The sequence below is a fragment of the Homo sapiens genome, chromosome 5, assembly GCF_000001405.40.
Source record: "Homo sapiens chromosome 5, GRCh38.p14 Primary Assembly".
NCBI lineage: Eukaryota > Metazoa > Chordata > Mammalia > Primates > Hominidae > Homo > Homo sapiens.
The window spans coordinates 150,679,617-150,703,261 of record NC_000005.10 but is presented as its reverse complement, the minus strand read 5'-3'; the positions used below and the strand labels follow the sequence as shown (position 1 = coordinate 150,703,261).

Here is a 23,645-nt window from a genome sequence, read left to right as displayed (position 1 = left end):
TTCTTTAACATCTTTTGGAGAAAGCATTTTAAAAGGAATATGTGTTCCTGGCCTCAGTTCGCTTTTTCCTCCTTTTTTGAGCTGGTTTCTTGTCGCTAGGATGGTTTATTCCAGGAAATTCAGGTCTCACGTTACTAGGAAGGCTCATTCCTAGGAAGTCATGTTCCATGTTGCTAGGAAGGCTCATTCCTAGAAGTCATGTCCCACAAAGATTAAAAAATAAATTGGGGGAGGAAAGAGGGAAAAAGGAAGGAAAGGAGATGATTCTGAGGGCTCCAGACTTAAAGGAGAAAAGGGTCCTATCTCTTTTCTCTTAATGTTAAATGTTATTTTGTTTGTGGAATGTTCACTCTATAATATATATGTTGATTAAGTATACCATTATGCATGATTTGCAATATTGATTGACCTGTGGAGTGCCTTGAGCCTGTGTGTCCAAGACTCTGAGTGCTGAGTGAGTGGGAAGTACTAAGGAGAATTGCTTTCTTGGAAACTCCATGTAGTTCGTGGCTTTTGTGATTGAAATAGCATCAGTAAAAGTCTGGCATTGTGGAAAAACACAAATGTACGTGGACTCTGTTATTTCTGACCTTGCACTCCTCACAAGGCATGTGAAATTGGAGTCACAGATGTAGAAACCAGGCAGAAGACAGTCTGAAGAGATGATACTTGAGAATTTTCCAAATATAATAAAAGACAACAAATCACAGATCCAAGAAGCTCAGATAAACCCAAGGACTTTCTTATAAAGGAAAAGATATACTTACCATATGATCAAATAATCTCACTCTAAGGCATTTACACAAGCAAAATGAAAACCAATGTCCATACAACGATCTGTATGTGAATGTTTATAATGGTTTTATTTATATTCACTAAAATCTGGGAACAACCCAAATATCCAGCAACTGGCAAGTGAATTGTATGATATATCCATACAATGGAATTCTACTCAGTAATACAAAGGAAGAAATTATTGATACATGTAATAATATGGATGAATCTCAACTACAAAATACTAAGTGAAAAAATATCAGATCCAAAAGGATATATAGGATTCCACTTATGTGACATTCTGGAAAAGGCAAAACTAGGGACAGAACACAAATTAGTGATTGCCATGGTTTGAGTATGGGATAAGTGGACTAACTACAGAAACAAGGGAACTTTGGGGATGACAGACAATTCCATATTTGACTGTAAGTGAATGTATGTACAAAATTCAAAACTAAAAAGGATAAAACTTTATGTAAATTATACTTTAAATCAACTTTTTTTTTTAATGAGGTGATTTAAATAAATGTGTTAGGTAGCTTGATGACACGGTAAGTATGAAAGTGGTACCAGAATGGCTTGAAACTCATAAAATATTGGCAGAGTGGTTATGAGTTATTCCAAAAATCAAATAATGCATATGTTGATTCGTAAGACCCTTGTCATTTCAGAAGCTGGAAATGAAACAGTACTAATGAATTTGTGGCTTCACCACTTTTTAGCTCCACAACCAGGAGCTATATCAGGAGAGATTAGGTTAATCTCTCTAAACCTGTTTTCTTTTCTATAAAAGAGGGATCATCATACTTGCCTACAGGGTAGAGTTACCAGATAAAATACAGGACGATTGGTTAAGTGATGTGAATTTCAGGTCAACCACGAATCCTACTTTAGGACGAGTAGGTACCATATATATTTATAATTAAAAAGCGATTCGCCGTTAATCTGAAATTCAACTTTAGACGTTCTGTAATTCGTGCGTGTGTGTGTGTGCATGTGTGTGTGTGAGTGACAGAGAGAGAGAGAGAGAGAGAGAGAGAGAGAGAGAGACAGAATCAGAATCTGGCAGCCCTACAGAGAGCCCTACAGAGAGGTTATGCGAATAAATAAGACACTGGAACCGCAAGACGTTCGCCCAGAGTTTGGCATAATAAGCGCCTCAGTGGTAGCGAACGCTATTTTAACCCCAGCCTCTGATGCATTACGTCTTCCTTTATTCTTTCGCCCAATTGTTAAATGAATCAACTGTACGTGTGGCCCTTCATTCCAAGCAGGCAAAAACTCGAAGGAAGCATCCAGGTGCATTATACCAGGACCCCAATTGTTAAGCTTAGAAATTCCAAGAGCGGGCGACGTCATGACGCAAAGGCCCCGCCCCGGAAGAAGCCCTAGACGCGTAAATAAGACGCCGACCGGCGCGGCGCTAGCCTCGGGGCTTGACGGGATTGTGGCGGTCCTCTCTCCCAATTCGGAAGCTACAGCTACCTCCGGACGCTCTCAAGATGGCGACCTCTCTGGGTTCCAACACCTACAACAGGCAGAACTGGGAGGATGCGGTGAGTGTGCCTGCCGGAGGAGGATGGAAGGAGGAGGCGAAGCCGCGCACCTTGCAAGCTGGCAGGACAGGGCCTGCGGCGCGGCCGAAGGAATACCGGGGAGGAGCCAGCGCGGCGGCCTAGCTTGGCCGGAGCAGGAGGGCGGAGGGCGATCCTCCTGCGGGCTTGAAGGGAGGGGGCTTAGCCAGGGTCCCGGGACCAGCACCCTTTCCATCCCTGCCCCCTCCAGCCTATTAGAGCTGGTTTTCTTTTCTCCCGCCGCCTGCCGGAAGTGCAGACAGCGCCCCCTCCCGCGATCGGGTCGTGATGGACTTCGGGTTCCTGCCGTGCCTAGTTCCCCACCCTCGCTTCCCGCCCCCTCGCCACCCCAAGTGTCACTGAGGTGTCAGGGTCTTCGGAGGGTGGTCCTCAACCAGATTTCCCATTTTCACCAGGACTTCCCCATTCTGTGCCAGACATGTCTTGGAGAAAACCCATATATCCGAATGGTGAGTGATCGCGTGTGAAACGAGTTATTCATGTCCTGTCGATGTTGTGGTACTTGCACACTGTGAAGTGTTTCTCTTAGACAAGCAGAAAAAATGATGCTCTTTTACTAACGCGAAGTGCTGGACGACTTGCAAAGAACTGTCATGTGTATTCTCTTACGAATCCGGTAACACTCCTGTAATGTAGGGGTAATAACGATAGCTAGTATTTGTTGAGCATTTACCTAGGAAATAGGTCTGTTGACCAGAAGGTGAGAGCGTTTGTGTCTTTTCATACAATAGTAAGGAATGGAGCTGGGATTTAAGTTCACATATTCTGGCTCTAGGAATGTCAGCATGATAGGAGGAGAACCAGAACTAGAAACTAGGTTTCCTGAATCCTGGTCAAATGCCTTTTGGCCAGTGTACTTTATCTCTTTAAAGTAAGCATTCCCCCTTTGTTACAAACTAGGGTAAAATTAGAACCAGTTAACAATAATAAGGTTAGGGCTGTATTATTGTGTAGTCGTAGAGGTGTTGATATGTTAGTATGTTCACGATGTTTGAATGGTTCAAGATGTTTGAATAGTTCTGTTTAAACAGAACATTTACTATATTCCGGGCATTGGCACAGGACAAGTCTACAGTAGCTACCTTTTGACTAAACTTTGTAAAGTGGGCGGGCCACAGCTGTATCCTCTCTGATTTAGGGATTGTGGAAAGCATTAGGAATGTTAGTTCTTGGGAGTGAACTTGGGAGCCAAAAATGAACCTAAGAGTTGTGGCTGTGGAAAGACACTCACTTACCTAGCATTAGATGCATATACTCTATTTCTTTTTTCTGTAGAGACAGCATCTCGCTATGTTGCCCAGGCTAGTCTGGAACTCCTGGGCTCAAGCAATCCTTCCACCTTGGCCTCTCAAAGTGTTGGGATTACAGGCGTGAGCCACTGCCACCCAGCCCAGATCCATATACTCTTGAGATGTTATCACTTATAATATGTTGTTATAGTATGTTCCCTACCCTCTTCCCAAAAAAGGTTGGGTTTTGGGTTTTGTTGTTGCTGTTTTTCTCTCTCTAGGATGCCAGGGATTTCCAGACACATTTCTTGGGTTATGTTTAAGGAAAGAGTAGACATCTGGCTTTTTTCTTTCTGTAACTCCAGTTCTTTTCTATTTTTTTTCTATTATAGACCAAAGAAAAGTATGGGAAGGAATGCAAAGTAAGTATGTCTGTTAAAGAGTAATGATTTCTGTTTCATTTTTCTTTTCTCTACCAAATTAGCCTTCAGCTTACTAAGTTTTGAGGTCTTCCAGTAAAAATCAGTGCTATACAACTTTTTATGTATTACTGATATATTCATTGGCTGGCAACTGTTTATGTGGGAGGTAAGAAAATGAACCCTCTAATGTAGAGATTCTTACGGTGTCAGTGGATGGGCACTGGAGGAGTTTGTACACCAGGTGGTGTATGACTGTCCACTCGAGCATTTTAGCTGAGGAGGAAGGTCATTCTTGTCAGAAGCTTCTCAAAAAATTACATGACACTCCCCACTCCCCCTAAAAAAGATTAAGGTTCAGATTATTATTGGTGCTTAGCTCTAGGATGGGAAGAACTTTGACCCTTTGGCTATTTCATTTCTGTACTCTGAATTTTTGCTGGAGAAGGATGCTGAAAATTGTATTGAAACATCAAATCAACTAGATGATTGCTAAGGTCTCTTCTAAATCCTACATTCAGGGATCCTTTTTTGAATGCCCCGTTGTTATCAGATCTCCAGATTGCCCAGATCAGGACCATTGACATTCTATGGCTCTTGCTTTGTGTTCCAGATCTGTGCCAGGCCATTCACAGTGTTTCGCTGGTGCCCTGGAGTCCGCATGCGTTTCAAGAAGACTGAAGTGTGCCAAACCTGCAGTAAATTGAAGAATGTCTGTCAGACCTGCCTCTTAGACCTAGAGTATGGTATGTTTGACCTGTCCAATAAATCTGAAAGTGTGCAGGTGCCTAAAACTACAAGTCAGTCTTTTGTCTCCCACTTCGCACCCTAGCTCTGGTTCTGATTTCACTTTGGAATGTCTGCCGTGGTCTGCTTTTCCCAGGAAAAGAACCATAATTAGGCCACTCTAGAGTCCTGAACAATAGTAGGAACTTAAGGAAAAGTTGGGAATTAATCAAAAGTGGCCTAAACCTTCATCTCTGTAGCCCAAGTGAGGTAAAAGGCGTTGATCCTATGATAGATAATTTATTTGCCTTAGGCTTCTTTCTTGATCCAGAGCTTTTTTCCACCATCCCAATCAGAAGCTCACAGGGTAATTGTGCTTTATTTTATTTTATTTTTTGAGTTAGGGTCTCACTCTGACACCCAGGCTAGAGTACAGTGGTGTGATCACAGCTCACTGCAACTTCGAACTCCTGGGCTCAAGGGATCCTCTTGCCTCTGCCTCCTGGTATACCACCACACCCAGTGCACGTGTGTGTGTGTGTCACTATTTTGCCCAGGCTGGTTTTGAGCTTCTGGCCTCAAGCAGTCCTCCCACCTTGGCCTCCCAGAGCCACTATAGCCAGCCTAATTGTGCTTTAGACTTTTATTTCAATTGTGTTGTTAGAACTGATATATTGCTACTGTTTCAGAGTAACTGCTTTTGGGAGTAATTTTTTTTTTAACCATAGGTGACTGTTTTTCAGAAAGATAATTTTTCAACAAGAGTTTTTACTATTAAAGGAAAGGGAAAAATATATGAGTTTATGTATGTTAAGTTCATTAGAGTTACTCTTCTAGTCAGAGTCCTGGCCACATTTTATGTAATATTATTTATATGTTTGTTAAGGAGGCGTCTGGTCCTGGAGTACAGTGACCCTTAGATGACTGTGACTATCCAGAGGATCTGTAAGACTAACCTAGAAAGAAACCACTTTTACATTTACTTTAAATAAATCATGTTGTAATAAAAACTAGGAGCTAATTTACAGGTTGAATATGACCATGGGCACAGTTTGTTCATCTAAAAATTTTCTTTTATAATTTTTTTGTTTTTTGTTTTTGAGACAGGGTGTCACTCTGTTGCCCAGGCTGGAGTGCAGTGGCATGGTCATGGCTCACTGCAGCCTTAACCTTTCCAAGCTCAGGTGATCCACCTCAGCCTCCTGGGTAGCTAGGACTACAGGTGCATACCACCACACCCAGCTAATTTTTGTATTTTTTGTAGAAATGGGGTTTCACCACGTTGACCAGGCTGGTCTCGAACTCCTGGACTCAAGCTATCTGTCAGCTCCAGCCTTGCAAAGTGCTAGGATTACAGGCATGAGCCACCACACCCAGCCTAAAAGATTTTTTCTAAAGCATTAATTTCATCAAATTTCCTGACAGTTCAGGAATTTGGACAATTTCTTAGCATGCTGTGTAGCAGAAGTAACCTGATGGTGCTAAAGAGTTTGAATAAAAACATAGTAAAGTCTCTGGTACTAAATAGGAAAGAGGAGAAGGGAAAGATGATGTATTCTGTGTGCATGGTTAGTATGGATATGTTTTAAAATACATCTGAGGTCTTTTTCCTCTTTTTTTGTACCAGGCCTGCCCATCCAGGTTCGTGACGCAGGATTGTCTTTTAAAGATGACATGCCAAAGTCAGATGTCAACAAAGAGTACTATACACAGAATATGGAGAGAGAGGTATGCTGCCACTTTTTGGATAAAAATCCTAATGAATTGACACAGTCTGTATAATTTATCTTTTGAATTTGTCATCCCCACTTAGATTTCTAACTCTGATGGAACACGGCCAGTTGGCATGCTGGGGAAAGCCACATCTACCAGTGACATGCTGCTCAAACTGGCCCGGACCACACCCTACTACAAAAGGAATCGACCCCACATTTGCTCCTTCTGGGTGAAAGGAGAGTGTAAGAGAGGAGAGGAATGTCCATACAGGCAAGAGCGAGCCTCATTTTCAGTATTTGCTTTCAGATGATTTCTCATCTAAGAAGTGGGAGGTCCTAACTTAAACTGTTTCTGCTTTAAAATCTAAAGGTCATACAACTAATGTGGTATACCTCATGTCTTAGAACTATGAAATTTAGAAGAGCATGAATAAATTGTAGTTTTTACTTACAATTGAGCCTTGGAAACTAAATTGCTATGCCATACAATATAGATGCTGACCCTAAACATTTCTGCCTGAGAAGTAAATCTTCACTGCCATGGTTTAAATGAGTTGACTCTCAATGTATAGTTGAAGTCAAAGTAAGGTCAGACTTCTAAAGGGTGTGTATGTTTTGGTTAAGACTGCCAAGCATCTGGATTAGGAGTTCTTAATTTGGGATTGGTTAACCCCACCCCCTAAAAAATAATGTATGTGCTTTCTCTGGGGCGAGGTTCATAGCTTTAATCAGATTCTCAGTGGAATACAGCACCCCAAATGTGTTAAGAATCATTGACCTAGAGAGGGGTAATCATGTGTCCCTTTCTGGGGGGCGGGAGGGGGTGGATCATGTCAAGAGTATTTATTTATAAGGAAAGTTTGGCATCCTAGATGGCCTAATGGCTTTTAGGAGGCTAGTAATTCCTTCCGTGATACAGTAAATCTCTTGGTATTAGGTCTATTTTGGTAATTATATTTTGGTAGAAACCATAGTTTCTAGTTCAAAAGGCACTTCAGAATATGTATCTAGGACTTTAATATGTAGCTACTCTTGGAAGATAATCATTTTTTCACCTTCGTTTCACCTTTATGCCTTGTTTTTTTCTTGAATCATAGACATGAGAAGCCTACAGATCCAGATGACCCCCTTGCTGATCAGAATATTAAAGACCGTTATTACGGAATCAATGATCCTGTAGCTGACAAGCTTCTAAAGCGGGCTTCAACAATGCCTCGGCTGGACCCACCAGAGGATAAAACTATCACCACACTATATGTTGGTGGTCTAGGTGATACCATTACTGAGACAGATTTAAGGTTTGTGGGTATAAGTTAGAGAGTTATTTTTGCCTTTAACTGCCCTGGAATAATTTATTTGCAAAAACTGCAAGAATGATCATTCTGTACAAAATACATTTTTCTGTAGTCTCTCTATTGTTAGTATCATGCTGACTGGAATTTTTGTAAAATTGTCCTTTATGGTGCCACAGTAATAATGTGCTTATGTGGCTGGGCACAGTGCCTCATGCCTGTAATCTCAACACTTTGGGAGGATCTCTTGAACCGAGGAGTTTGAGACCAGCCTGAGCAACATAGTGAGACCACATCTCTACTAAGAAATCAAAAAAATTAGCCGGGTGTGGTGGCATGTGCCTGTAGTCCCAGCTGTTTGGGAGGCTGAGGCAGGAGGATTGCTTGAGCTTGGGAGATCAAGGCTGCAGTGAGCTGTGATTGCACCACTGCACTCCAGCCTAAGCAACAGAGTGAGACCCTGTCTCAGAACCAAAGCTCAAAGAGTGCTTATCCATCCTGGCATATGGTAATAATGACATAGGATTCTATTTGACCTAACAGCCAAGTTTTAAAGGATGGCACGCATCCAAGTATGATGAATTATGTAGAGGAGGGAGAGCTTTGCGATGATAAAACTCTTGTGGTTTAAATTGTTGGTTTTTAAAGAGACTGGCATTTGATAAATTTGTGTTATTTTTGGCTTGTATTATGCTTGGCTAGATGAGACTTCTGGGCAGATAGTAATGGAAATTACCTCTTCCAAAGAGATAAAGTGGAGAAGAAACTCCTGTAAGTTTATAACCTGCCCTTGGTAGCCTGTCTCCATTAAACCCTATCTAAGTGAGCTAGACAACCCCCAGGGGTTGGCAGACTTTCGCTGTAAGAGGCTGGATGGTGAATATTTTAGGCATTGTGGGCCACATGCAGTCTCTGTCACGTATTCTTGTTTTAAACTTTCTTGGCTCATGGGCCTTGAGAGCTATGGTTTGCCAACCTCTTATCTAGGGTTTAGGGTCTTTAAAGAACCTATTAGAACCCCCTTTCCTCCATGGGAAAAAACCCTGAGATGTTTGAGAACCTTTATTTACTCATTATTTTTCTTTCCTTCTCTCAATCAGCAGCACCCACAGTAGGACAAGATATGGGGTGGAGACCTGCGGGTAGTTAGGCAGATAACCTTGGGGCCCACCTGCCTAGTGGTGTGTCAGTGAAAGTTAATCCATTTTCAGTCTCCTGGGTACATCTTTTTTAACTCCCACTTTCATTTTTCTCTGCCTGTTTCCCTTCAGAAATCATTTCTACCAGTTCGGAGAGATCCGGACGATCACTGTTGTGCAGAGACAGCAGTGTGCTTTCATCCAGTTTGCCACACGGCAGGCTGCAGAAGTGGCTGCTGAGAAGTCCTTTAATAAGTTGATTGTAAATGGCCGCAGACTGAATGTGAAATGGGGAAGGTGAGAATTAAACTATTTTTAAGTGACATTTTGCTTAGATTTTTAAGAAACTATTTCATTTTCTGGAGACTAGTAGGCTTTTGGTTAACAGGCTTAAATGAACAGGATCTTTAAAGAGATCTTTCAAAGATCACTCTCTATGTGATACTTGATTCCTGTGGATGTTGGGAGAACCCTGCTTTGGAAATGTATTCAGGGGGTTGGTGTATAATCTACTCCTTTGAAGGTTCATGTTTTTGTGACTAGCTATTATAGGCCAAGTATAATGCCAGGCCATGAAAGGTGAATTTTAGGGTTTATAAATGAATTAGACCTAGATTCTGCCCTTAGAGGCTGATTGTCCAGTGGAGAAGATAAAACAGGGAAGAATCGCTATTTTAAGTTTAAAAGTGATGATTGCATAAGAGAGACACAGGTGAAAGACCCAGTTCAAAGGGGGAACATGTCTCCAACTTGGAACCAGGGAAGTGATGGCTAATAGCAGCATCTGCCTTTGTGGAGCGCTCCCTATGTGGTAAGCACTGTGCTAAACACGTATGTGTTGCCTTTTCTGGTCCTTATGATAGTTCTAGCAGCTTTTGAACCCAGGTCTTTTCTGGTGTCAAAACCTTTGCTCTTGTTCACTGTGCACAGTGGCATTTATGGGAAAAGAGTGTGTGCTGAGGAGGAGGTAGAGCGAAGGAACTCCATTGGACTGGGGAATGTAAGAAGCAGAGGTGTGAGATAAGGTGGGCCAGAGTGCCGACTGTATGCATGTGTGTTTCCCAGATCCCAGGCAGCCAGAGGAAAAGAAAAAGAGAAAGATGGAACTACAGACTCTGGGATCAAACTAGAACCTGTTCCAGGATTGCCAGGAGGTGAGTGCAGACTCCCTGCTGACTTCAGAAGCTCTTTCTGCCCTGATGTTCCTATTTTGGAAGATGGGACCCAGGTCTGGTTCATGTTGCCGCTCTACTCTCCCAGTAGGACCTCTGAGAATGTAAAGGTGGTAGAAACAGCGTTGCACAATTGTTCTCCCCTCTATGTGTTGACTATTTTCTCTCCTCCAGCTCTTCCTCCTCCTCCTGCAGCAGAAGAAGAAGCCTCTGCCAACTACTTCAACTTGCCCCCAAGTGGTCCTCCAGCTGTGGTGAACATTGCTCTGCCACCGCCCCCTGGCATTGCTCCACCCCCACCCCCAGGTAACTTCCATCTTCCTTCTTAGCCCAGAGAAATCCTTGTGAAAGTTCTGTCTCATAAACCTCACCATCATGTTCAACACATCCAAATCCTGTGAGTTTGCTCTGTAGAAGTCTACCAGTAAAGTTGATCTGTTGGGATTTCTGAAATTTTTCTTTCTCCTGCTCTGCCGAGGAGAAGAAAGGGGCCAGTTTTCTAAAGATCCGCGTATATGTGTCAGCAGAGTAAGATTATTAGATTACAAAGATCTATCACCAATTTGTTCCCTTTTCTAAACTAAATGCTAATGGATGCCCTAGAGCACTATTGCCCAGTGTGGGCTGTGAGCGGGTGTCATTTTACAAAGTGTTTATCACCTGTCTGCCACAAGATCAGGAGCTTGTGCCAAAATGTAATCAGTGAACCCCTTCCTTCATTGAGAAAGTCTTGTTACCAAAAAAACTGTCAGATGAACTAAACTGTGCCTGGTCGTATAATTTACATTTTGACTCAAGCTCTTTGTCTTGAGTGGCCAGAAATAGGTGGAGGACTGGCACTTCGTATAGCACTGCTGTAGACAGTGTTAACAGTGGAAGGAAATCACAGGTAGCCAGTTCTCCTGTGGCAGAGAGCCCATACTCTGAAGAGAATCTGGTTTCTGAGCACCCTCCATTCTGGTGTCAAGCATTGAGGTTAATGATGACACAGTCTTTGCCATCAGCCTGATTTCTTTCTTATCTCCCAAATCCTGACTGAATCCTGTCTGGTAGGATTTGGCATGTTGGATACATAGCAGAGACTCAGATGACATACTAGGCGATACCTTGAGTGCTGTGGAGTTTTTTGGACTGTGGGGGAAAGGTTTCTAAAACCAAGGAAATAACAAGTGGAAGTAAGTTTGTGAACTGACATTTGCTTAAGCCCCGTGTCAACCTTGATTTATGTGTAGGTGGTTTTAACCTTAGCAAGATTGAGAGGTTTGAAAGGTTATCAAGGAAACTACCAGCCTAACACATTTGTTCTCTCGTATCTGCAGGTTTTGGGCCACACATGTTCCACCCAATGGGACCACCCCCTCCTTTCATGCGGGCTCCAGGACCAATCCACTATCCTTCTCAGGACCCTCAGAGGATGGGAGCTCATGCTGGAAAACACAGCAGCCCCTAGCACCTTGTCACCACTCTGGGGCTCTGTGGAAGAAAGGGCACTTAAAACTCCCAGTAAATCTTGGAATAAATATATTTTTCCTTCCCTTGTAGTTTCCATGGTAGCTGAATGTGCTCAGATGTGAGCAGTCAGAGACTGACAGCCATGCTTTCCTATACTTGTTCAAAGGATCGATGGACCGTAAATAAGCTGCCATTAACACATCTGGTTACTGCTGTAACATGACTAATAAAACCGAACGCCTGTTCCCCTTACCCGTGTGGGGGACACGCAGATGAGTGAATTGGAATGTCCAGCAGAGTTACCCTCCCAATTATATGTTCATTTTGTATATTTTTTGGTCGGGGGAAAAATTGACCTGCAGTAAAAAAACCTTTGACCATTTTTATGTCCATTGGATACTTTCCTTTTTATCATCTTAAAAAAAGATAACTAGTACTAATCATTGTAGTGGCCTAAGTGTGATTTAACTCTTGAAGTCACACCCTCCGAAAGATGAGTAGAAACCAGCACCAGCACAGCCCAGATCTTCTCTTTCCTCTCCTTTTCCTCATTTATTCCTAAAGGAATCTGACCATTTTACGTCTCTACGGCCCAAAAAAAGACAAAAATAAAAATTCCTTTTTATTCCTGTCAACTGGATGGAAACACAAATTTCATGGAGCTGTGTACCATCGAAGAAACCTGGTGTCTGGCATGAAATTACTGTAAAGAACTTCCTGTAAAACACGTTCTTTAACAAACTGAAATGAAAAGCATTGGAGCGTCTGAATGAAAGACGTGACCTCCTGCTGGGACTCTGATGGTCTTCAGCATTCACCTTCGTGTGTCTTCAGTGTCTCATTGTCATCCCTGCTTCTGTTTGGTCTTAGAGTGTTTGGATATAACTGAATTGTAGATGGTAAAGGAAATTTGATGTGTTTTTTGTTTTTAAATAATTAAAACGGGTCAATTTTTCACATGTTGTCATGGGTTTATTTCTAGATTCCTCTTTATCCTTTGGTAGCTGAACTCGAGGTCAGTGGAAGTTATTTAATAGAAATGAGTTATATATTGTAAATTTTTTAAATGTTGCTTTAGACTTTTGATTATATCCATTCCGTGATGATTTACTTATTTTTTTTTAACCTCAGCCTATTCTTAGGTTGATTCCATGATGATTTAAAAGGCTCAGACCTCTTTAGTATTTATCTCAAAGGGTGATTGTGAGGTTGAAATAAGATAGTGCACAGAAACACTTAGCACAGAGCCTGGTGTAGGGTAGTTGATAAAGGGTAACTTTAAGAAGTCACCCAGCTGGGTGCATGCCGATAGTGCCAGCTACTTAAGAGGCTGAGGTGGGAGGATTGCTTGAGGCCAGCAGTTCAAGGCCAGCCTGGGCAACATGGTGAGATCCTGTCTCTAAAAAATAAAATGTAATAGGTCATCCTTAGGCAAGTCATTTTAAAAGGAAACATTTATTATAAATCCATTTTTCCTGAAGCCAAATTTTTTTTTTTTTTTTGAGATGGAGTCTCACTCTGTCACTAGGCTGGAGTGCAGTGGCACGATCTTGGCTCACTGCAACCTCTGCCTCCTGGCTTCAAGCAATTCTCGTGCCTCAGCCTCCTGAGTAGCTGGGATTACAGGCATGCACCACCACACCTAGCTAATGTTTATATTTTTAGTAGAGATGGGGTTTCGCCATGTTGGCCAGGCTGGTCTTGATCTCCTGATCTCATGATCCGCCCACCTTGGCCTCCCAAAGTGCTGGGATTACAGGAGTGAGCCACCGCGCCCGGCCATTTCCTGAAGCAAATTTTATGCTACTTTTATCTAAAATGTTTACTTCCAAGAAGGACATGCCCCATATGGCACCCTGTTTTAGATTTGCAGAATTTTTTTTCCTAGAGAACTTAAATTGCCTTTTTTAAAGATTTAAAAATCTATACTTAGAAATTTTCATTTTATTGCTAGTAATGTCAAATGTGAAGCAATGTACGATACTTCCAAGTATCTTTGTATCCTTTTGGGTCTTTTTTGCCTGCTTTTGAGCATGTAAAGGATTTTTAGCCAATTTGTAAATGAGATGTGAATCTTATGGATAGCATTTTAATAACTGCTAGATTCAACGATTTACATCTCCACATACACATACATACATACATATATGCCTATCCAATTGTGTATTGTAACCTTGCTTTCTTGGGGAGGAGGAGATTCTAATTTTTGTGTAGTTTGGTTATGGATCTTTTTTAAAAAACCAGTATAAAGGGAAGTATAGAATAGATATTCATAAATAAACCAGAATTATGAGCAATTATATCTTGGCAAAAACTCTTGCTTGCCAAATTCCATTGCCTAGGGCACACAGCTGGGTACACTTGGTGAAAAGCAACTTTTGCCGTTCCCAGGCTTGGCCTGTAAAACCCTCACCCAGTCCTATGTGCTTTCTCCATCTGGCTGAATGCACAGAATGGTCTCTAGAAGATAGCAGAGTCACACAGTGGAGCCTGGGTTCCTCCATCACCACTTAGAAGACAATATTGCTATATGAGAAATTGTTGTTGTATTAAGGCATTGAGACTTGGGGATTTATCTGTTACAGCAGCTAGTGTTACTCTAATAAAAATATAGATGTCCTCACATCTAATAATAAAAAGGCACTTGTTTATATAGTAGGTTTACACTGAGTGATGGTGTTTTCCTCTTTTTTTGAAAAATAGGAGTCTCACTACATTGCCCACGCTGGTCTCAAACTTCTGGGCTGAAGCGATCCTCCCGCCTTGGCCTTCCCTTTGTTGGGATTGCAGGCATGAGCCACCGTGTCCAGGCAAGTAATGGTGTTTTAAACAGACTCTGGAGCCAGACTACCTGAGTTCAAATCTCAACTTCAGCTCCTCCCAGCTATATAACCTGGTGTGTACTTAATCTCTCTCTAGTTGTCATAAGGCCTCATCTCTTAACCCTTTTTGCTGCCTGTAATATTTTGAGCTTCTTCTCCCATGGAAAAAGCTCAGAAGGTAAAGCATTATGACAACTGGACTAAGGCAGTGACAGCCCATGGGGCAAAGAGTGAGATATAACAGATGTTCTGGAAGCCAAATCAGTGAGCCACTGTGACCTGAAATAAATGGAGGTGAAAAGAGAGGAGTCTAGGGTAACCCCTAACCTCCCACCTCAGGTCTCTGGGTTGGTCAACTGGGTAGAAAGATGTCTTTTCCTGAAATAGAGAATGCTGGAAGAAGAAGGCGAGATTGGGAAGTAGGGGTAGGAAAATATGAATCCCCTGTGGGATCTGGTGAGTTTAAGATATCTGTAAGGCCAATGGAAATTCCCAACCCAAGGGGAATGGAGCTTAAGGGAGATTAAGATTTGGATGGGCAGTGAAGTAGTGGCAGCTGAAGCCCTGGCTGTGGAGTGCAATTCTCCAGGGTCGGCAGGTAGAGCAATTTTTAAACTTCAGTGAGTCTAAGTTCCTGGATTTTTATGAGGTAAAGACTACCCTTTGAGAAATAGTAGTATAGGATGAGATCACTTCTTTTTTTTTTTTTTTTTTTTTTTTGAGACAGAGTCTTGCTCTGTCGCCTAGGCTGGAGTGCAGTGGTGCGATCTCAGCTCACCACAACTTCCACCTCCCGGGATGAAGCAATTCTCCTGCCTCAGCCTCCTGAGCAGCTAGGATTACAGGCACACACCACCATGCCCAGCTAATTTTTGTCTTTTTTTTTAGTAGAGACGGGGTTTCACCATGTTGGCCAGGCTGGTCTTGAATGCCTGACCTTGTGATCCACCCATCTCGGCCTCCCAAAGTGCTGGGATTACAGGTGTGAGCCACCGCACCCAGCCAAGATCACTTCTAAGATTAGAAAATGTTACTCTTCTCAGAGATTCTGTAGTCTTTTTTTTTTTTTTTGCCCCTAACATTTTACTGTAAAAATTTTCTGATGTACAGAAAAGTTAGAATAATTTTACTGTGAACCACCGTATACCCACCAACTGATTCTACAATTAACACTTTGCCATATTGGCTTTATCACATATCTATCCATTTCTTTATGCATCCATCAATCTTTTTTTTTTGGAGATAGAATCTCACTCTGTCACTCAGGCTGGAGTGCAGTGGTGCTATCTTGGCTCACTGCAACCTCCGCCTCCCAGGTTCAAGCAGTTCTCCTGCCTCTGCCTCCTGAGTAGCTGGAATTACAGGCGTGTGCTACCACACCCGGCTAATTTTTGTATTTTTTTACAATACAAATTTTGTATTTTTTACAATACGGGGTTTCACCATATTGGCCAGGCTGGTCTCAAACCCCTGACCTCAAGAGATCTGCTCACCTCAGCTTCTGAATGCGCTGAGATTATAGGCATGAGTCACCGTGCCCAGCCCCATCAGTCTGTTTTTATGCATTTCAGAGTAAACTGAAGACATCAACAGACTTCACCTTTAAACATTTCAGCATTTATATACAGATGCTTCTCAATTTATGGTAGAGTTATATCCCGATAAGTTGAAAATATCATTAAGTGAAAAATGTATTTAATACACCTACTGAACATCACAGCTTAGCTTAGCCTATTGAGCAAAATCACCTAACACAAAGCCTATTTTATAATAAAGTGTGGAATATCTCATGTAATTTATTGACTAGTCTCCTGAAAGTGAAAAACAGAATGGTTGTATTGCTTTCACAACATCCTAGAGTTGAAAAATCATAAATTGAACCATCCTAAGTTGGGGTCCATGTTTAATTAACTAGAGTTCAATTCTTTTTTCCATCTGTCCGGATGAAAGAGTTCAATATTTTTTGTGGATTTTTAAGGTCAAAGTTACATAGACTAAAATGCATGAGTATGTCATTCAAGAGTTTTGACAAATGTATACATCCATGTGACTCAAACCCCTGTCAAGATATAGGACATTACCATCACTCCAGAAAATTTCCTCCTGCTCTTCCTAGCCAATACCCACTCCCACCAATCTCCAGAGGCATCTACTATTCTGATTTTTATTACCACAGATTAGTTTTGCTTCCTTTAGAACTTCATATAAATAGAATCACGCAGTGTGAACTCTTTTATATTTGGCTTCTTTCTAGCAGGATGTGTTTGAGAATCATCCATAATGTTGTATACAGTTCCTATTTATTGCAGGATAGAATTCTACTGTATGACTATGCCATCACTTATCCATCCTCCCATTGATGGACACCAAGGCTGTTTCCAGTTTGTTTGGGTTTTCTTTTGCTACTGAAAAGCTACTATGAATATTCTTGTACAAATTGTTTGTGAATATATGTTTTCATTTCTCTTGAATAAATACTTAAGGCCGGGCGCAGTGGCTCACTCCTGTAATCCCAGCACTTAGGGAGGCCGAGGTGGGTGGATCACCTGATGTCAGGAGTTCGAGACCAGCCTGGGCAACATGGTGAAACCCCATCTCTACTAAAAATACAAAAATTAGCCGAGCGTGGTGGCAGGTGCCTGTAATTCCAGCTACTCGGGAGGCTGAGGGAGGAGAATCACTTGAACCTGGGAGGCGGAGGTTGCGGTGAGCCGAGATGGCGTTACTGCACTCCAGCCTTGGTGACAGATCAAAGCTCTGTCTCAAAAAAATAAAAAATACATAAATACTTAGGAGCAGAATTACTAAACATGTCTGGTTTTAAAAAGAACTGTCAGACTTTTTCCCTTTACATTCCTACCACAATGTAGGAGAGTTCCAGTTGCTCCACAGTGTTGCCACCCTTTGATGTAAATGGTTTTCTGAATTTTAGCCATTCTGGTGGATGTGTAATGGTATTTAATTGCGGTTTTATTTTGCATTCCCATTGTGACAAATAAGTTGGACACCTTTTCAACTACTTATGGCCATTTACATATCTTTTTTTTTTTAACATTGAGAAACTTAAGGATGAAAAATCTGTTTTTATTTTTATTTTTAGAAATGGGGTCTTACTTTGTCACCCAGGCCGGAGTGCAGTGGTGTGATCATAGCTCACTGCAGCCTTGAACTCCTGGCCTCAAGTGATCCTCCCACCTCAGCCTTCCAAAGTGCTGGGATTACAGGTGTGAGTCACTGCGCCCAGCCTATATTTCTTCTTTTGTGACATGTCTGTCCAAATATTTTGGTCATTTCTATTGGGTGTCTTTTTTTGTATTAACTAGTTATAGAAGGTATACATCTTAGGTATTAGTCCTTTGTCAGAGACATGTTTGCAAATACTCTCTCCCAGTCTGTGGCCTGCCTATTGACTTTCTTTCTTTCTTTCTTTCTTTCTTTTTTTTTTTTTGAGATACAGTCTCTCTCTGTCGTCCAGGCTGGAGTGCAGTGGCATGATCTTGGTTCACTGCAACCTCCACATCCCAGGTTAAGCGATTCTCCTGCCTCAGTCTGCTGAGTAGCTGGGACTACAGGCACGTGCCACCACACCTGGCTAATTTTTGTGTTTTTAGTAGAGATGGGGTTTCACCATGTTAGCCAGGCTGGTCTCGAACTCCTAACCTCAGGTGATCCGCCCACCTCAGCCTCCCAAAGTGTTGGGATTACAGGTGTGAGCCACCACGCCCAGCTTTATTCACTTTCCTAGTGATTTTTTTTGATGAGCAGAAGCTTTTTGTTTTAATCAAATCTAACTTAGTATCTCATATACCAAATCTGTATTAGTTTGCTAGGGCTACCATAACAAAGTACTAAAAACTGGCTTAAACAACAGGAATTTATTATCTTACAGTTCTGGAGACTAGGCCTCCAGGATTAAGGTGTTAGCAGGTTTATTCCTTCTGAGGCTGTGAGAGAATCTGTTCCATGCCTGTCTCCTAGGTTCTAGTGGTTTGCTGGCAATCTTTAGCATTCCTTGACTTGCAGGCACATCACTCTGCCTTCATCTTTCCTCGTTGTTCTCCCAATGTGCATGCCTCTGTGTCCAAATTTCCTCTAGTTATAAGGGCACCAGTCATATGGATAGGGCCCACCCTAATGATGTAATTTATTGTTTGTTTAAAACATTTTCCTTTTCTAGGGCTCTTGCATTTCCATATAAATTTTTAAAATCAGCCTGCCAATTTCTACAAAAACATAAGCCTATGATTGGGATTGTGTTGAAAATAGGTCCATTTGAGAAGAACTGACATCTTACAAATATTGAGTTTTCCAATCTATGAGCACAATATATGTCTCCATTTAACTATCTTCTTTAATTTCAGCAATGTTTTAAGGCTTTGGTGTACAAGTCTTACACAACTTTGTTACATTTATTACTAAGAATTGTGTGATTTGTTGCTATTTTTAAAAAAATGTCTTTTCCAATTGTTGCAGTTAATATAGAAATAACAGTTGGGTTTTGTGTCTCAACCCTGTATCCTGTGACCTTGCTAAATTCACTCAGTACTTCTAGGAATTATTTTGTAGATGTCTGCAATGATCTATGTAAACAATAATTTCACCTGTGAACAGAGACCGTTTCATTTATTTATTTCCAATCTTTATGCCTATTTCTTTTTCTTGCCTAACTGAACTGGCTAGGACCATGAGTACTACATTAAATAGAAGTGATAAGAGAAGACATCTTTGTCTTATTCCCAAGCTTGTGGGAAATGCATGCAGTATTTCCCCGTTAGGTATGTAATTAGCTGATTTTTTGGAGCTAACTTTGATCAAACTGAAGGAGTTGGCTTCTAAATTTTTAAAGAATTTTCACCATAAATTGGTGTTGAATTTCATTAATGCTTTTCCTGCACCAAAAATGTTAAACCAAGATTGCATTCCTGGGGTAAACCTAACTTAGTCATGATGTATTACATATATTTATTTATAAATTATATATACAGATATATTTATAAATATGTGTGTGTGTATATACATATACATATATACATATACAAACACACACATATGTATCTTGGGTTTTATGTCTATATTCATGAGGAATAGTGGTCTTTTCTGTAATATTTTTGTCGGGTTTCTTCCGGCATTATAAAATTTGTTTGGAAATGTTTCTTCCTCTATATTTTGAAAGCATTTGTATAACAATGCTTTTTTTGTTTTTTTCTCCTTAAATGTTTGATACAATCCTCTGGTGAAGCCATCAGGTTCTGGTGTTTTCTCTGTGGGATTTGTCTGTCTTGAGTTTCAAAGCTTGTTATTTTGGAATAACTTCAGATTGACAGAAAAGTTCCAAAGACAGTTCTTGTATACTTTTCACCCAGCTTCCCCTCTTGTTAACACCTTACATAGTCATAGTATGTTTTTCTTTTCTTTTCTTTTCTTTTTTTTTTTTTTTTTTTTTTGAGACGGAGTCTCGCTCTGTCGCCCAGGCTGGAGTGCAGTGGCGCAATCTCGGCTCACTGCAAGCTCCGCCTACCGGGTTCACGCCATTCTCCTGCCTCAGCCTCCTGAGTAGCTGGGACTACAGGCGCCCGCCACCACGCCCGGCTGATTTTTTGTATTTTTAGTAGAGACGGGGTTTCACTGTGTTAGCCAGGATGGTCTCAATCTCCTGACCTCGTGATCTGCCCGCCTCGGCCTCCCAAAGTGCTGGGATTACAGGCGTGAGCCACCACGCCCGGCCTCTTCTTTTCTTTTCTTTTTTTTTTTTTTTTTGAGACAAGGTCTTGCTCTGTCGCCCAGGCTGGAATGCAGTGGCACAAACTCAGCTCAATGCAACCTCCGTCTCCCGGGTTTAAGCAATTCTCCTGCCTCAGCTTCTTGAGTAGCTGGGATTACAGGTACATGCCACCATGCCCAGCTAACTTGTGTATATTTTTAATAGAGACGGGGTTTCACCATGTTGGCCAGGCTGTTCTCAAACTCCAGACCTTGTGATCCACCCACCTCGGCCTCCCAAAGTGCTGGGATTATAGGCGTGAGCCACCACGCCCAGCCTAGTATGTTTTTCAAAACTAAGAAATTGGCCAGGCGTGGTGGCTCACACCTATAATCCCAGCACTTTGGGAAGCCGAGGTGGATGGATTGCTTGAGCTCAGGAGTTCAAGACCAGCCTGGGTAACATGGTGAAACCCCAGCTCTAAAAAAATACAAAAATTAGCCAGGTTTGGTGGCATACACCTGTAGTTCCAGCAACTCAGAAGGCTGAGGTGGGAGTATCGCTTGATCCTAGGAGCTGGAGGTTGCAGTGAGCCGAGATTGAGCCATTGCACTCCAGCCTGGGTGACAGAGTAGTGAGACCCTGTCTCAAAACAAAAAATTAAACAAACAAAAAAAACTAAGAAATTAACGTAGGTACCATACTATTAACTAAGTTTTTATTTGGATTTCACCATTTTTTTTTCTGTCCTTTTTTTCTGTTTCAGAATTCAGTCTAGGCTTCCACATGACACTTAGTTGTAATGTCTCCCAGTCTCCTCCAATCTGTGATAGTTGATTGGTCTTTCCTTGTTTTTCATGCTGTGGTAGGTTTTAAAAGTACCAGTCAGGTGTTTTCGTAGAATGTTGCTCATCTGGGTTTTTCTGATGTTATCACATGATTAGACTGGGGTTAAGGATTTGAGGAACAATATCAAAAGAGCAAGTGCCCTTCTCATCACTTCATATCAGAAATCTGAGTATCACTGATGATGTTAACCTTGATTACTTTGTTAAGGGAATGTCTTCCAGGCTTCTCCTTTGTAAAGTCACAATTTTTCTCTTCCTATGCTCTATTCTTTGGAAACAAGTTGGTTAAGTTCAGTCTATAATCAATAGGATGGGAATTAACCTCCACCTTCTAAGGGGGCAACTGTCTACAGACATTATTTGAAAGTCTTCTACAAGGAAAAAGGAAGTTTTGTCCCTTTTTCTTCACTTATTTGTTTTTTATTTATTAAATTATTAATTTATATCCCTAGTTTCATTGATATTTATTCTTTGAGTTATCATCTCCTATTCTGTGGGTTCTCTTTTCACCCTCTTGATAGTATTCTTCGATGCACAAAAGTTTTGAATTTTGTATATTCAGTTTTTTAAAGTATATGTAGTTAGAATGAGTAATCTGGTGGTGCAGGACGCTACTTTTTCATTGTATTTTTCATATCTTCTGTATCCTTACTAATTATTTGTCTGCTAACCCATCGATAATTGAAAAAAATGTGTTAAATCTTCCTCTGTGACTATGGGTTTATTCTTACACTGTGAAGATCTGCTTTATCACAATAATACTTTTTGCCATCAAGTCTACTTTGTCTGATGTTAATATGGCTAAAACACATTTCTTTTGGATAGTATTTCTTTCTTTCTCTCTCTCTTTCTCTTTTTCTTTCTTTTTTTTGAGACAGGGTCTCGATTGCCCATTCTGGAGTGCAATGGCATGATCATAGCTCACTGCAACCTCAAACTCCTGACCTCAAGTGATCCTCCCGCCTCTGGGATTACAGGCGTGAGCCACTGCGTCAGACAATTTTTTTATTTCATTTCTGTGCCACATATTTTAGGGATATTGCTTATGAACAGCACAGAACTGAAATTATCTTCGTCCAATCCACAAGTCTTTTTTTTTTTTTTTTTTTTTAAGACGGAGTCTTGCTCTTTCACCCAGGCTGGAGTGCTGTGGCATGATCTTGGCTCACTGCAAGCTCCGCCTCCCAGGTTCACGCCGTTCTCCTGCCTCAGCCTCCTGAGTAGCTGGGACCACAAGCGCCCACCACCACGCCCGGCTAATTTTTTGTATTTTTAGTAGAGACATGGTTTCACCGTGTTAGCCAGGATGGTCTCGATCTCCTGACCTCGTGATCTGCTGCCTTGGTCTCCCAAAGTGCTGGGATTACAGGCGTGAGCCACCGCACCCAGCCCAATCCACAAGTCTTTATCTTTAAACTGGTGAGTACTGTCTAAATGTAAATATTACAGTTACTATGATAACTGATATGTTTGAAAGTAATTATACCGCTTTATTTTATGTGCTTGTGTTTCTTCTTCATCCTTCCTGTCATCTATTGGATTGATCATGTTTTAGGACTTAGTCACATGCTTACCATTTCTCTGCTCACTAGTGCTGCTTAGATTCTATACTTTCTTTCTGGGTCCTTCCTGAAGTATGTTCTTTGTTGTTTTTTCAGGGGTCAGTAGAAAACTCTCTTAATACTTATTTGTCTGAAAATCAATGTATTGTGCTCTCACTCCTTGAAGACATTTTTCCATTATTGCCGGAAAGTGTCAACATTAGTAGTGTTGGGCATTGTCATTTTATTCTCCATCTCTTTTAACTTCTCTCTCATATTTTCCATCTCTTTAACTCTCTGAGATGCATTATGGGCACTTTTAGCTCACTAATTCTCTCTTCAGGTATGTCTCATGTCCTATTAACCTGTTCATTCCCATTTTAAAAGGAGGGATTATTTTGATAAAATATGTACATGTGCAGAAAAGTGCAAAACACACAGGTGTACAACTAACTTAAATATTGTAAAGTGAACATCTATGTAACAATCGCCCAGGTCTAGAAACAGAATTTTTCCAGCTACCCTAGAAGCATTTGATGGGTCCCTTCACATTCACAAACCCCTCCCCACTCCCAAAGTTACCACTATTCTGACTTTTATATTAAATATTTTCTTCCATCAGGAAACATTTGCCTTCCTTTGCTTACCATTACGTTCCTGAGATGCATCCACATTGTTGCATGAAACTATAGTTCGTTGTTGCTATGTCTAATGCCACGTTTCTCTGCGTTTTGGCTATTCTTAGTCCTTTTCATTTCCATATCACTGTATGATTTAATTTATGGGAAGAACAAAAACAGGCAAAAATATAGAATTTTATATGAAGGATTTCTTTTCTTATTTATTTATTTATTTTGAGATGGAGTCCTGCTCTGTTGCTCAGGCTGAGTGCAGTGGTGCAATCTCAGCTTACTGCAACCTCCGCCTCCTGGGTTCAAGCGATTCTCATGCCTCAGCCTCCCGAGTAGCTGGGATTACAGGCACACACCACCATGCCTGGCTAATTCTTGTATTTTTAGTAGAGATGGGGTTTCACCATGTTGGCCAGGCTGGTCTCAAACTCCTGACCTCAAGTGATCTGCCCACCTTGGCCTCTCAAAGTGCTGGGATTACAGATGTTAGCCACCACGCCCAGCCTATATGAAAGATTTCTTATAATTTATTCCATGTAATCTCAAATTACATGAAAGGTGAGTGATTTGCTTTTTCAGGATCCAAAT

At 41.3% G+C, this 23,645-nt stretch overlaps 1 protein-coding gene across 1 annotated transcript, besides 2 other annotated features; it reads left to right on the top strand.

The window, feature by feature from the left end:
- Window positions 1,405-2,181: an enhancer, noted in NCBI's record as "NANOG-H3K27ac-H3K4me1 hESC enhancer chr5:150080643-150081419 (GRCh37/hg19 assembly coordinates)". NCBI's record gives its function as "activates a minimal SCP1, AML or CMV promoter by ChIP-STARR-seq in primed H9 embryonic stem cells {active_cell/tissue: H9 hESC(primed)}" and the evidence as "EXISTENCE:reporter gene assay evidence [ECO:0000049][PMID:30033119]".
- Window positions 2,182-2,958: an enhancer, noted in NCBI's record as "NANOG-H3K27ac-H3K4me1 hESC enhancer chr5:150079866-150080642 (GRCh37/hg19 assembly coordinates)". NCBI's record gives its function as "activates a minimal SCP1, AML or CMV promoter by ChIP-STARR-seq in naive and primed H9 embryonic stem cells {active_cell/tissue: H9 hESC(naive and primed)}" and the evidence as "EXISTENCE:reporter gene assay evidence [ECO:0000049][PMID:30033119]".
- Window positions 2,200-12,470, top strand: RBM22 (RNA binding motif protein 22). Its single transcript, NM_018047.3, has 11 exons — window positions 2,200-2,330; window positions 2,765-2,818; window positions 3,991-4,020; window positions 4,631-4,763; window positions 6,371-6,471; window positions 6,557-6,729; window positions 7,556-7,756; window positions 9,022-9,186; window positions 9,955-10,043; window positions 10,236-10,367; window positions 11,381-12,470. The coding sequence occupies exons 1-11, from the start codon at window positions 2,277-2,279 to the stop codon at window positions 11,509-11,511; spliced, it is 1,263 nt and encodes a 420-aa protein (NP_060517.1). The 5' UTR covers window positions 2,200-2,276; the 3' UTR covers window positions 11,512-12,470.